The sequence below is a fragment of the Homo sapiens genome, chromosome 6 (assembly GCF_000001405.40).
Source record: "Homo sapiens chromosome 6, GRCh38.p14 Primary Assembly".
NCBI classification, from domain to species: Eukaryota; Metazoa; Chordata; class Mammalia; order Primates; family Hominidae; genus Homo; species Homo sapiens.
In genome coordinates this window covers 21,212,106-21,226,598 of record NC_000006.12, presented here as the reverse complement: position 1 = coordinate 21,226,598, position 14,493 = coordinate 21,212,106, and the positions used below count along the sequence as shown (strand labels likewise).

The window sequence follows — 14,493 nt, the reverse complement described above, 5'->3', positions numbered from 1 at the left end:
GGATATGACCTTTGCTTACGCAAAAGGCGTTATTTATCTGTTAAATGGAGTTATTTATCCTGTTATAATAAAGACTAAGGGGCGCACTAAAATTCCCATCGTGCATTCTGTGTTAACTTTGATTAACATGGGTTTGTCTTCCCTTGTAAATCTCACTGCTCCCTTGATTAATTTCTAAATCTACTTACTTGCTAACTCTTAAAAATAATCTACTAATTTTCAAAAGTGTAGCTTATCAAATCCTATCAAAGTAATCAATCTGTTAAAGCAGAACCAAGTATGGATACCAAAATTTCAAAAAAAAAAAAAAAAAACTTTCATGTTCAGAAACTTTAGGGATCAGATTTCAATCAGTTAAAGATAAATACAGACAGTTGGGATGATAACAACAGTCTATCTCTATTTCCTTCGTCTTTAGCAGTTGTGCACGTATTGTTGGGGAAAGGAAAGAGATGCTTTTAACTTGAGCATGTTTCACGCCACAAGGCACAGATGGAACCGGTTCTAGGAGCAGTAAGTCCTCGAGCTCTGGGCTCTAATCCCAGCTCCATCTGAGGATTCTCAGGCAAATTTTATCCTCTTTTTGCCTCCATTTCCTCACCTGTAAAATGGAGATACTGCTAGTATTTGTGCATCATAGGGTTTTTATGAGGATTAAATTAGATATATATAGATTAAGTGTTCTGAACATTTAAATGTCAATTCAGATTAACTTATTCCATGGTATTCTGTGGTTCTAATGAAAAACGCAAACGTCCTCAGAAATTCTTTTTGTAAATTACAAAGTCATTATTTTATTTGCTTCTAAAATAGAATTGACCCGTGCTATTTTTGTTCCTTATGTATACCATTAAGAGGCACACACTATAATGAATGAGCATGGGTTTTGAATTGTGGCAGACCAAACTGAACGCAGGTTCAGACAGCCATGTGATCTTAGGCAGGTAGTTTAAACTCTCTAAGCCTGGCTATCCTTTCTGTGAAGAAGGAAAGCCATCTACCTTAGGAAGTTATCAGAAGGAATAGAAGTAATGTGCCCACAGCCGGGCAGAGTGCCTGGAATACAGAAGGTTCACAATAAGGGCTGCTGTGACGGTGACGTCACAGGAGTGTAGCTTGAAAAACAGAGAAGGCCAGAGCCTCCCACAGCACTTACTACCAACACTGAGATGACAGCGTCCTGCCTTGCACCTCCTCACTAACCCATGAGGAAGAAGCTACGTCCATTGTGAAGTCAGCACCTCTTACTCCCCGGGCTCTGAGATGGTAAAGCCGGTGGAGTGCACCTCCTGGAAAGCTCCGAACTAAAACCATCACCCGCCCCTGCCTCCTCTACTTACTGCTTGCTCAGGCCTCAACTAAGACAGGACTTGCTTTAGGAAAACCTCTCTCAACCACTGCCCACCCCGTGTGGGCCTGCTCGTCTTGTCAGCTGGCCCTCCTCATGGCGCGTGTCAACAGTGGTGAGCACCCTGCTGGATCCTGGCTCCTGCATCACCCTAAGCGTGCTCCTTCTGAGCAGGGGTGGCCTTTCTCTCCAATAGATGCCCAGGACCTGGTACCTAGGAGGGGCCAGTGTTAGCTGAATGCATACTGCCATTGCTACCTGTTACTTACTACCATATATTCACATTTTATATAGGAGCAAATATCCCTTCCATATGAACTGCCATTTACCTATTCTTACATTTCTTATTAGACTGACAAGTAAATGGGACAAGGAGTCATACATCACCAATACTACATAGTATAAATATGAAATAGGGTTACTAGGGAAAAACCTTACCAGCAGAGAAACAGCATGTTATGTGAGTTCTCTATTGCTACTTTAACAAAACACCACAAACCTAGGGCATGAAGCAATATGCATTTATTCTCTTTCAATTCTGGAGGTCAGAAGTTCTATGTCAAGGTGTTGGCTGGGAGGCATTCTTCTGGAGGCTCCAGGGAAGAATCTGATTCCTTGCCCTTTCCAGGTTCTACAATTTGCCTACATCTCTTGGCCTGTGACCCTTTTTTTTCCATTTTCAAAGCCAGTAGCATAGGGTTACTATTATTATTATTGTTATTGTTTATTATTATTTTGAGACAGAGTCTCACTCTGTCACCCAGGCTGGAGTACAGTGGCGCAATCTCGGCTTACTCCAACCTCCACCTCCTGGGTTCAGGCAATTCTCCTGTTTGAGCCTCCCGAGTAGCGCGTGTCACCACGCCTGGCTAATTTTGGCATTTTTAGTAGAGATGGGGTTTCACCATATTGGTCAGGCTGGTCTCAAACTCTTGACCTCAGGTGATCATAGGGTTATTTTTATCAGGACCTTTGTGATTTACATTGAACCCACTTAGATAACCCAGAATAATCCTCTCATTCCAAGATCCTTATCTTAATCACATCTGCAGAGTTCCTTTTGCCATGTAAGGTAACATCGTTGGAGGTTCAGGTGATTAGGATATGGACATCTTTGGGTGGGGGACATGACTGTGCCTGCCACTCCTGACATATGTGAGCCCCCAAGCTTGCATCCCACCAGAAAGCGTACTCAGTTCAGGCAGAGCTAAACTAGCTGCCCAAGAGAACACACTCTGACAGAAGTGTGATGCTCTACACGTTTACAAGGAAAGAGGGATAGGGCGCCTCTAGGAGACTGTGTGGCTGGCTGACCGTGAAGTTTCCTGGGGGAAGAGGACAGCAAACCTCCACGGCCGAGCCTCTGCTAAGGCCTTTTCCTTCTGCTGAGCTAACAGACTTGCTGAGCTAGCTGCTTCCTAAGAAAATGGGGAGGAAACAGGCCTCCAGGGCCTTCAGATGTGTCCTCCTCACAGGTCTTTTGGCCCCAAGAGACAAGACTCCGAGGGAAAGGGCACCCAAGAGATGATCAGTTAATGTTTTCTGAACTGGTATTTGCATTTCTACTTATTCCTTTGCCTCCTTTAGTCATTTCTTCACCTAGTTACAAGTATTCTCTTCTTGGGGGCTGGATGGGCTTGGGCTTCCAATGGAAGGAAGTCATGTTGTTTAGAGGCCTTTCTTCCAAGTCCTCTTCCTTCTCATACAAAATATTGATAAGTTGTAATATGGTACCTGGCTGGAGAACCAGAAGCACAAGGATTCAGCGAGAAAGGCAGAGGATAGGCTCTATGTGAAAATACTAAGTAGAAGGAGTATTTAGAGAACATTCACCATGTGCCCAGCAGGACGCTAAGTGCTCTCTAATCCTTCAGACTACTCAGTGAAGTAGCTAATAGGAGTTAACCCTCTCTTTAAGTCACTTGCCCAAATTTCTGATAGTATAAATGGTGAAGCAGATGAGTGGCCTGGCTTTACTCATACTAAGTACAGCCCCACAGCAACACTTCTGAGATACATTGATAATTCCATACAAATGAGAAAGAGCAAGGGCACTGCATAGTTATTACAATGACTATCAAGATCAACAGTCCCACCAAATAGATTTTATCCATTTTACTTGCCCCTGCACCTCACAGAGGTAATGGTGTTATTTTGAGTTTCCCTACAGAGGCCATTCCAGAAAAGTCAGCCGCATGTTATGCAGAGACATTTCACGCTACCTGTCTTGCAGTTCTGAGCCACGTTGCGAATTTGTAATTGTGACCTGTAGATGGCACATCGCTGAGTATGCTCTGAACACACACATGCACACACACTTGATGCGCTCACATGAGAACACGTTGCAAAATGTGTTTTAATGAGGAACAGTTGGTCTGGTTCTGCTCAAATAAAAGATATCCCTGTAAGAGAGTTGCCACCTGTCTTCCCATCTTGCGGTGCAGCTTCCAAATGAGTTCTTCTGTCCCTGACACCTGCAGGTGTTACCAGGGCCCTGCAATCACATTCCACATGCCAGCTCCCTTCCTTGAATTGACAAGACAACCCTGTCCCTGGGCTTCATGTTATTACCAGATACCAGGACATACAGGGGATTAAGGGTGCCAAGCTATCTTTCTCCTTTATTCTTCTAGACATTCCCCAAATTGGGAGCTCTTTAATATCATATAAGTAGCTGTACCCAATTATCTCCAAACCAAAAATGCCAGTATTTTATCTTGAAGTCAGTTAAAACAATGTTGTATGCATAGTCCATCAGCATTATAGGTACACTGGAATGTAACAGGATCAACAAATTGAAGTTGGAATTAATCGCTCCTTTCCATTTCTTTTGGAAGAACATTTCCATTATAAGACCTCGGTCACACAGTCACGCAATTAGAGCGCAATACTGTCAGCCTTTCTGTTTCAATTCTGGGAATGAGAAATTCTACATCAGACATTATTCATGCGACATTTTTCCCTTACCCCTTTCACCCCAAATGTGTAATTGCTATCAGGTCATTACAATCATGAACAAAAATTTTAAACTTGAACACACACATACATACACATGCGAACTGTCTAATCTTAATATCACGGGTGGGTTTTTATCTTATTTTGGTGACAGCAGAGTAAACACAAGGCTTTGCTAATAAGTCTGAACATAAATTATTAAACTATCTACTGTATGATCAAATGCATTTCAGATTATATTCTGAGTAATTCTGCCTTGACGTCCACCAAAGGAACAGATCTGATGTGCCCCTGTGTGGTCTCAGTGATCCCTCTCTTTCAGAATGCCCAACCTGCAGACTTGAACGGTGCCAAATGAAAGACAGAGATAATCGTATCAAAAAACAAAGCTTGGCATCTGCCCATCACCTAATTATTACTCTCTGTAAGCCCGCATTTCATCTGACTCAAGAGATGTGAAAGCAACTCTTAAGCTCTGAACTTACTTTAATGGCTTCAAAACATTTCTCATGTGTAAATTTTTCTCATGGCTCAGAGGCACTGTTAAGAGCTTGAAGTGCAATCTAACAGGGATGAAGAAAAAATTGTTTGATAGCTCAGATCTCAGGATAAATTAGAGTTTAGAACAGGCTTTTTTCCCCCCACCATGCCTGAACATATGGGCTCTGCAGAAAACCTACTGAAACCAAATATGTGACCAATGCAAGGAAACAATCTTAAAACATACATTATGCAGTACAGTATACTATAGAAAAGAATCTTGAAATTGGCTGGGCATGGTGGCTCACACCTGTAATCCCAGCATTTTGGGAGGCCAAGGTGGGTGGACTGCTGGAGCCCAGGACTTCTACACTAACCTGGGCAACATGGCGAAACCCCCTCTCTACAAAAAATACAAAATTAGCTGGGTATTGTGGCATGTGCTTGTAGTCCCAGCTACTCGGGAGGCTAAGGTAGGAGGATCACTTGAGCCCAGGAGGTGGAGGCTGCAGTGAGCTGTGATGGCACCACTGCACTCCAGCCTGGGTGACAGAGAAAGACCTTGTTTCCCCTCCATGAAAAAAATTCTGGTATTGAATACAAAATTATAAGCTATCTCTATCACAATTACATTTTATTTTTATTTTTTGAGATAGAGTCTCGCTCTGTCACCTAGATTGGAGTGCAGTGGTGTGATCTTGGCTCACTGCAACCTCCGCCTCCCGGGTTCAAGTGACTCTCCTGCTTCAGCCTCCCGAGTAGCTGGGATTACAGGCATGTGCCACCACGCCCAGCTAATTTTTGTATTTTTAGTAGAAATGGGGTTTCACCATGTTGTCTGGGCTGGTCTTGAACTCCTGGCCTCAGGTGATCCACCCACCTCGGCCTCCCAAAGTGCTGGGATTACAGGTATGAGCCACCGTGCCTGGCCCACAATTATATTTTAATCTCTCCAGTATAAACTTCAGGAAGCACCTCCTAAGGTAAGCATCCCTAACAGGAACTGCTGCATCAGACCTTCATAAGAAGGAATGAGCAAAGGTGGCCCCTCAGGCTTTGTAATGCATTCTCGACACTCCAGCTGTGGGCTTCTATCTGAATACCTTCATTTTTAGCTGTCTTAATCTTTGGCTTAGTAACAAATATTCACTCAAATGAGCTTATAATAGTTTCCTAATTTTTGGCTTGTTACATTTACCAAAATAAGGGGAGGGTGTAGGACAGAAGAACCAGATCTAGAATTAATAACACAGTATAGAAATCTTTGCCAACAGTGGTGCGCTGGCATTTGTTTATACATAACTTCTCCAATTCCACAAAGTAAGCCCTGCCAAGAAGGTATGCTATCAGAGATCTGGCACCTTAGCTGGAGATACATTTATCTTTACTGCTTCCTCATTGTTTAAATTTTTTTCTCCAAAGAGAGGTACGTAGAAAAGGTTCTCTTAGTAACTGCACATAAGGAAAACACAAGTTAGTTATTTACTGGGTCAAAGTTTGGAAATTTGGAAATTATTCTAGAACTTGTCATTTAAGTCTCTTCTGCTAACTAAATATCAGCCTAAGATATATGGACAAGTGCACATGTGCTCGCAAACACACACACACACACACGCACGCACGCACGAGCTTTAACATAAAAAAGGAACCAAGAGGCACACTTAGAACCATGAAGCCTGTAATCCCAACATTCATGATAGTAGTAGAAACCTGAACTCATCTATTCCTCATTAGTGGCTGGAGATAAGCATCAGTATGAATGAAAGCTGCCCCACAGGTGTGGCAAAGTTGAAGAAATAAAAGGTGAATTGGGTCAAGATGCTTTACTGATGAAGAAATCTTTTCAATAGTCTCTCACACCCGAAACCATTCTCATTCCATGCAGCGCACACAGGAAGCACTGAGCCAGGATGTTCACAAACATAACAATTGGGTGTATTAAACTTCATCTTTAAGTCATCAGTTCAACTCAAAATAATTGTTCCTAAGGGTTTCATTCCAACTAGGTAACCATGAAAGTGTGTTGGCAGATGTTTGGTTTGTATTTTAAATGAAAAAGAAGACATGTGTGATGTTAGCTGTTATTACAATACAACCCTCTCATCCTGTTCTTAGTATCATTTTCAGTGACACTGGAAATACGGTTTCAGCATCACTGAGCTCTATAAACTGCATAAAACGAATAAAGGAGACGGCAGGTGCTTTTCTCTATCTCAAAGAATCTCATAAATGAGAAGCTAATATGTAAAATGTTTCCTACATATCACCATGATAGTTTTGCAGCTTGGAAAATGCAGATAAACTAGTTAGGAAAAATTACATGGTTTATACAATTGGTCCTCCATATTTGTGGGTTCCACACCCACAAGTTCAACTGACCACAAATAGAAAACACTCAGGGGGGAAAAATTCCACAAAATTCCAAAAAGCAAAACTTGAATTTGTCACACACTGAATACTATGTTGAATCCATGAATCTGAAGAGATGTGTAGGCATTGTATTAGATATCAAAAGTCATCTAGAGATAATACATGGGAAAATGTGGGTAGTTTATATGTAAAACTATGTCATTTTATATAAGGAATTTGAACATCCATGAATTTTGGTACCCATCGGGGGTCCTGGAACCAATCCCCCACAGATACCAAGAGATGACTGTACTTACTATAATTACACTAAACTGAACCCAACCATCTGAAGAAAGATCACATCTCTACATATTTTCCTATCACTCCCAAAGTTCTATTATGCTTTCTTCCAAAAATCTGTTCCAAGACATGCCCATTCTCCCTTTCTATTTTGAATATAGTTTTTAAAAGTAAAAAATAATGATCCTATGGAAAGGCACTTAAAATTAGATTAATATTAAAAAACTTAATTACTTATGTTACTATAAAAGTATGGTAGGCAGCCCTGAAGATGATCCCCAGTGAGCCTCGCCTCCTGGTATTCACACCCATATGTAATCTCTTCCCCTTGGCTATGGTCTGAATGTACTCACTTGCTTCTAATGCTCAACATAAATGATGGATGCCACTTCCAAAATTAGGTTACAAAGTACTGTAGCTTCCATCTCTCTCTCTCTCTGCTTGCTTGCTTGCTCTGAGGGAAGCCAGCTGCCATGCTGTGAGCTGCACTATGCAGAAGTCCACAGGAGAAGGAATGGAAGGAGGCCTCTGACCAATAGCCAGCCAAGGACTAAGACCTTAAAGCAACAACCCATGAGAAACTGAATCCTGCCATCACCATAAAAGTGAGCTTAGAAGCAGATCCTCCCCAGTTGGGCCTTCAGCTAAGGCCACATCCCCGGCTGCCAGCCTGACTGCAGCCGAAGGAGCAGTACTGTGCCACGGGCACCCAGAGAAGCTGCACCTAGATTTCTGACCCACAGAAACTGTGAGGTAATAAATGTTTGTTGTTTTAAGTTTCTAAGTTTTGAAGTAATTTGTTACACAGCAACAGATAACTAATACAAAAAGTTGCCAAGTAGAGGGCTGGATACCAATTCACACATACTTAGAAATCTGATTCATAACAGAGGCATTGAAGACCAATAGGAAAGACAGACTTTCAATAAAGTTTTCTGGAACAGTTGCTTATACACAGATAAAACAATGAAATTTAACCCCTACCTACCATGTTTACAAATCAATTTCAGATATATTAAATATTTACCTGGCTAAGGAAAAACTAGAAAAACTTTAGGACAATATGGGAGGAAAACCTTTCTAACCACAAGGTAGGGAGGACATACTTCTTAAACAAATCACAAAAATATACAAAGTTCTAAACAAAAGAACAAAACTTCTAACCAGAGAGGTTAACAAGCTGCAAACTGGGAAGAGACACTTGCTTCACATATAATTGACTCTAGACTACATAAAGAAATCCCAGCTGGGCACAGTGCCTCTTGCCTGTGGTCCCAGTACTTTGGGAGGCCAAAGTAGGAGAACTGCTGGAGGCGAGGAGTTTGAGACCAACCTGGGCAACACAGCGAGTTCCCGTCTCTGCAAAAATAGCCAGATGTGGTGGCTCACGCCTGTAATCCCAGCACTTTGGGAGGCCGAGGCGGGTGGATCACTTGAGGTCAGGAGTTCGAGACCAGTGTGGCCAACATGGCAAAACCCTGTCTCTACTAAAAATATAAAAATTAGCCAGGCGTGCTAGTGCACGCCTGTAATCCCAGCTACTTGGGAGGCTGAGGCAGGAGAATTGCTTGAACCTGGGAGGCAGAGGTTGCAGTGAGCCGAGATCGTGTTATTGCACTCCAGCCTGGGGGACAGAGTGATACTCCATCTTAAAAAATAAATAAATAAAAATAAATAAATAAAAATAAAAAATAAAAAATAAAACTTAGCTGGGTATGGTGGTGCATGCCTATAGTCCCAGCTACTTGGGAGGCTGAGGTGGGAGGATCACCTAAGGCCAGGATTTCAAGGCTGCAGTGAGCTAATGATCACATCACTGCACTCCAGCCTGGGCAACAGTGCAAGACCCTGACTCAAAAAAAAAAAAAAAAAGAAAAAGAAATCCTAAACATCAATGAAAAAGTATCGTCCAATAGAAGAAAATGGGCAAAAGACTTTTTATACAGACTCTTTGCTGAAGAGAAAATCTGAATATATATATATGTGTGTATATATATATAAAACCAATAAATATATTTTAAAAAAAATGCTCAACCTCATTTGTAATTAGAGAAATACAAGTTAAAAATACAAAAATACCAGCTTACATATACCAGGTTGGAAAAAGTAAAAAAAATGAGCAATATCAAGTATGGGTGAGAATGTGGAGGATCCAGAACACTATGACACTGCTGCTGGTAATGGCAGAAATTAACATAGCCACTGTGGGAGACAGGAGGGCATTACCTGGTAAGGTGGGAGCTGTACACTCTGGCCAACCCAGCAATGCCACTCCTAGGTATGGCACCCAGACTAGAGAAATGATTGCAGATAAGTGGCCACACCAAGTCCTCATCACAGCTGATGTGATGTAAGTTAGAAGCTCTAGCAAGATTTGGGCTGGAGATGAGGGTTGGGGAAGGGTTGGTCAAAGGAAGAAAAAGTGGTCCAGGATGGGGGTTCAAGACCTGTGGGTGGGCTTCCTGCAAACATTAACTCTCCAAGCAGTCCCCTAAGAATCTCTTTCTTTTCTTAGATGGGCCCCAGTCGCTAACCTCCCTCTTCTCCATTAGCACGTTTCCTTTACCGCCTGTCAATGCCTTAGGTGTTCCCCACCCATCCACCACACCTTTCTTAAAATGATTGGTCAATGTGGAAAATAGATGGGACATGAACAGCCACTTGGTTGCTAATACACACTTATTATTATTTTTTTTCTGGAGACCGGATCTTTCTCTGTGGTCCAGGCTATAGTTTAGTGGTGCAATTATAGCTCACTTGCAGCCTTGAACTCCTTGGCTCAAGTGATCCTCCCACTTTGGCCTCCCAAAATGCTGGGAATACAGGAGTGAGCCACTATGCCCAGCCTGCCAATATACACCTTCTCATTTTTTACATGGATTCTATGGGATAAAATCAGTCTGATAAGTTCCCAATTAGTTTCCAATTGCTGCGGTAACAAATTACCATAAACTGCATGGCTTAAAACAATACAAATTTACCATTTTTTAGTTCTGGAACTCAGAAGTCAGATGGGTCTCAATGGACTGAAATCAAGTGTGATGTGGACTCCTTCTAGGGCTGTAGGGGAGAATCCATTGCCTTGCCTTTTCTAGCTTGCATCCCTAGGCTCACAGCCTGCTTCCATCTTCGAAGTCAGCATTCCTATCACTCTGACCTCTGATTCTCCTGCCTTTCTCTTTTGCTTTTAAGGACCATTGTGATTACACTGGGCCCATCTGGATAATCAAGTATACCCTCCTTATGTTAAGGGCAGCTGATGAGCAAATTTAATTCCATATGCAACCCTAATTCTCTCTGTCATGTAATCTAACATATTCACAGGTTCTAGGGATTAGGACACGATCACCTTTGGGGGGTGAAGTGGGGGGCATTATTCTGCCTACCACAGGTCCCCAGGGTGATACTGTTGAGTTGCTGGGTACAATTGTACCTCAGAGAAAAGCACCGGATATCTAGAGCACTTGACATTTCCTCATAGAAAAGACTATGACAAGGTCCCTTAGCTTCCATTAACGTTTAGATTTCAGATTCTTTTTACCAGATCCAACCCTTCCAGCTCTACAACTCACTACCTAAAAACAAGACACTGAGTTGTAGAGCTGAAAGGATTAGATCTCAGGTTGAAACTGAATGTGATGTCTTCTGGGGACGTAGAAAAGGAGGAGGAAAGTTGCGCAGATCACAGGCAAAAACACCAAGATTTCATAGGGTGTGGTAGACTGAATACATTAATATTCCCAATTCCTTATACCTCCTTGTATCTGTATCTTCTTGTCACATAACTCTGTAGTGTGTCCCTGGTCTTGGCCATGTGATTTACTTGGCCAACAGGATGCTACCAAACATCATGCATGCAGAGGCTTGAAAAGCACTTGTGCATGTCTGTTTGCTATTCCTTTGCCTTTACCACGGGAACATGCTCAGGTCAGCCAGTTGAAGGATGAGGCATGCGGAGCAGGGCTGATTCACCCACGGAGTCCCAGTTGAGGCCATCTAGATCCACCAAATGCCTGCTGAACCTCCATACATTTTAGGAAGCCCCACCAAGCTTAGAAGAGCTGCTGAGCTACCCTACAGTGCACTGCAGATGTGTGAGTGAGCCAGGCTGAGATCAGCTGAGCCCCACTGCAGTTCTGTGGTTGGTTGTCATAGGGCATTTATCATGGCAAAAGATAACCCATATCTAGGATAACCAGCTTTTTGGTCTTGCAGTCCTTTTCAGTAAGGGGTATACATATATCTCCGGAACAAATTCATTCATTCATTCATTCATTCATTCATTCATTCATCCAACAGACGTTTACTGAGCATTTGCTCCCTGCCAGGCCCTATCCTAGTCATTAAGGACACAAAGGTGAATGAAGTAAAGTCTCAGCATTCATGGGGCTTCAATTTTGGTAACTAGAGGCAAAAGAAACATGTAAATATTTAATATGTCTGGTGATAAAATGTGCCATGGAGAAAATAGAGTAGAGTAAGAATAGGAAGTACTAGGTTGTGTTGGATGGTGAGGGCTTGGGGTTTTATAGACGACTGCCCAGGGTGACCTCACTGATAAGCTGGTGCTTCAGCAGAGACCTGAATGAAGTATGTACCAGGGACATCTAAGAGATGGGCATTCCAAGCAGAGGGACCAGCAGTTGGAAAGGCCCTCCTGAGGGAGCAGACCTCGTGTGTTCATGTTCAAGGAGCAGCATGGAGGCCAGTGTTCTCGAGGGGAGAGAGGTCAAGGCATGGGACCTTGATCCTTGAGGCTGTTGTAGGGTCTCTGGCTTTCATTCTGAACATGCTGGGAAACCTTAGATGATTTTTGTAAAAATTTTTATATGGTATGTATATATATATATATAAAATAACATTTGAACAATTTTGAAGTACACAATTTAGTGGCATTAATTATATTTACCATGTTGTGCAACCATTACTACTATTTCCAAAATGTTATCACCCCAAGCAGAAACTCTGTAACCCTTAAGGAACTCCCCATCTCCACGCCCAGCTCCTGGTAAGCTTTAACCTAGTTTGTCTCTATGAATTTGCCTATTCTCAATATTTCACATAAGTGGAATTATATAATATTTGCCCTTTCTGGTGTGGCTTATTTTGCTTCACATCATGTTTCCAGATTTGCCTATGCTGTAGCATGTGTCAGAACTTCATGTCTTTCTATGGCTGAATAAAATTCCATTCTACTACATACCACATTTTGTTTGTCCATTCATCTGTTGATAGATACTTTGGTTATTTCCACCTTTGGGTTATTTATGAATAATGCTGGTATGAATATTGGGATATAAGTATCTGAGTCCCTGGTTTCCCTTCTGTTGGCTATATACGGAATGCTCTGAGTCATATGGAGCACTAGATGGTTTTGAGGAGGAGAGAGACACAATCTGGTTTATATTCAGGGTAGAAACAGGGAGACTCGTTAGGCAGATTGTTTCATTTTCAGATAATATAGTACACGGCAGGGGAAATCACTTCCCACAAGAATATTTAAGAGAAGAAGACCTGTAGTGAATGCCACTATCTTACACCATAGATGCTTTGTGATTGTTCAGAGGAACTGTGCTCACATGAAGGATAACAAAAGAAACAGCTACTCAAAGTCAGTGAAAAGGGGGAACTGAAAAACTCAAAGAATTTATTTCAGGCAGCTATCCTTTACAAATGCTATTGCTGCTTATAAAGACTGTATGTTTAAAAAGACCAATGACCAATTCCTCGTCTCATGGCATATAGGTGATTAGGGCAAAACATCATCCATGTTCATGAACGAGATATTATTAGTATCTTGATCAACCAGGCCCCAAGTAAATCTTCACTATCACCATGCCCCCCACTCCACATCACATATTCACTGATCACTTCTACGTGTCAGGCAGCGTTCAGGGCTTCCCAAGCTTTATCTCACTTCGACATCAAAACCATCCTATCAAATGGACTCTATTCCTCCCAATTTATAGATGAGGAAAGACACCTAGAGAGGGTAAGTGACCAGTGATCACAATTAGTAAGGAACAGAGCCAAAATGCCAAACCCACGGTCTGACCTGATGTGCGTAAGGGCTACTCTATTCCTTCAAAACGGATGTTTTCAAGGAGGAAGCCCTGGGAGCCAGGGGCCTGTGGAAGGGAAAATGCTGATCTTGATAAAGTCGGCTGATGGTTCTTTGCCTTTATTGCCTTTTGAATTTCCTTCTCAGGGGTTGGCAAATTTGCAAGGTGCTACATCTTAAATTTTTAGGTTGGCTTCCTATCAGAAAACTGCCCTAGATACCTGATTTGATATATGGATTGAAAATTTCTGTTTCTCAATAATTTTATAGAATTGCATTCAGGAGAGAGAGGGACAGGAGAAAATTTGTTTCCCCAAAGCCCTTTAAATTTAAAACACTGCTTGCATGCATATAAGCAATCTGCGCTTGTACCCCCTAAATACATAAAAATTTAAAAATAATGAAAAAAATTTTAAACATTATAAACTATGTTAGAAAACAAACACACTCTATTTCTTTGAACATATTCTATTTTATTTATTTAAAAATAATGTTCTATTATTTTAGGTACAATGCAACATCCACACTCTGAGTCTCATAGGAGAGATAGGCTGTCACTTTCATCATTAGAAAGTGAGAAGGGAAACTAGGAAACTACAATTTATGGTTAGAAGCAACTCGCTCTAAAGTACTCATCCTCATAGTTCCCATGAAAAGAATTTCCATTTGCAAGATTACTATCAGTTTAAAAAGGGGCTTTTGCAATCTGCTTATCAAGATGTCAAATGACTTCAAAGAGTAGGTTGAGTGGCTTGACTGTGATTTTTTTTTAACCATTGAAGAATATATTAATGTCCTCATCAGCTGGAGTAACAGAGGATTTCAACCTATCATGTAGGTTCCCTGCCTCTGGTGGAGAACCCATCCATTCCACCCTGCATATCGCCGAGAGCCAAGTTCATTCAATAACCATGAAACAGGCACTGCACTGGGGCCTGGAGCCAGTCGTGGGCAGACCAGTCAGGCGGGGCCTGCTTTCATGGGCTTTCCCTCATATAGA

General features: G+C 41.9%; 1 protein-coding gene across 6 annotated transcripts in view, besides 1 other annotated feature; it reads right to left on the bottom strand.

The window, feature by feature from the left end:
• CDKAL1 (CDKAL1 threonylcarbamoyladenosine tRNA methylthiotransferase) overlaps positions 1–14,493 on the bottom strand; it is a 697,948-nt gene that overhangs the window by 5,806 nt on the left and 677,649 nt on the right. The gene's annotated exons all lie outside the window — the stretch shown is intronic.
• Positions 2,941–3,458: an enhancer, noted in NCBI's record as "NANOG hESC enhancer chr6:21223372-21223889 (GRCh37/hg19 assembly coordinates)". NCBI's record gives its function as "activates a minimal SCP1, AML or CMV promoter by ChIP-STARR-seq in primed H9 embryonic stem cells {active_cell/tissue: H9 hESC(primed)}" and the evidence as "EXISTENCE:reporter gene assay evidence [ECO:0000049][PMID:30033119]".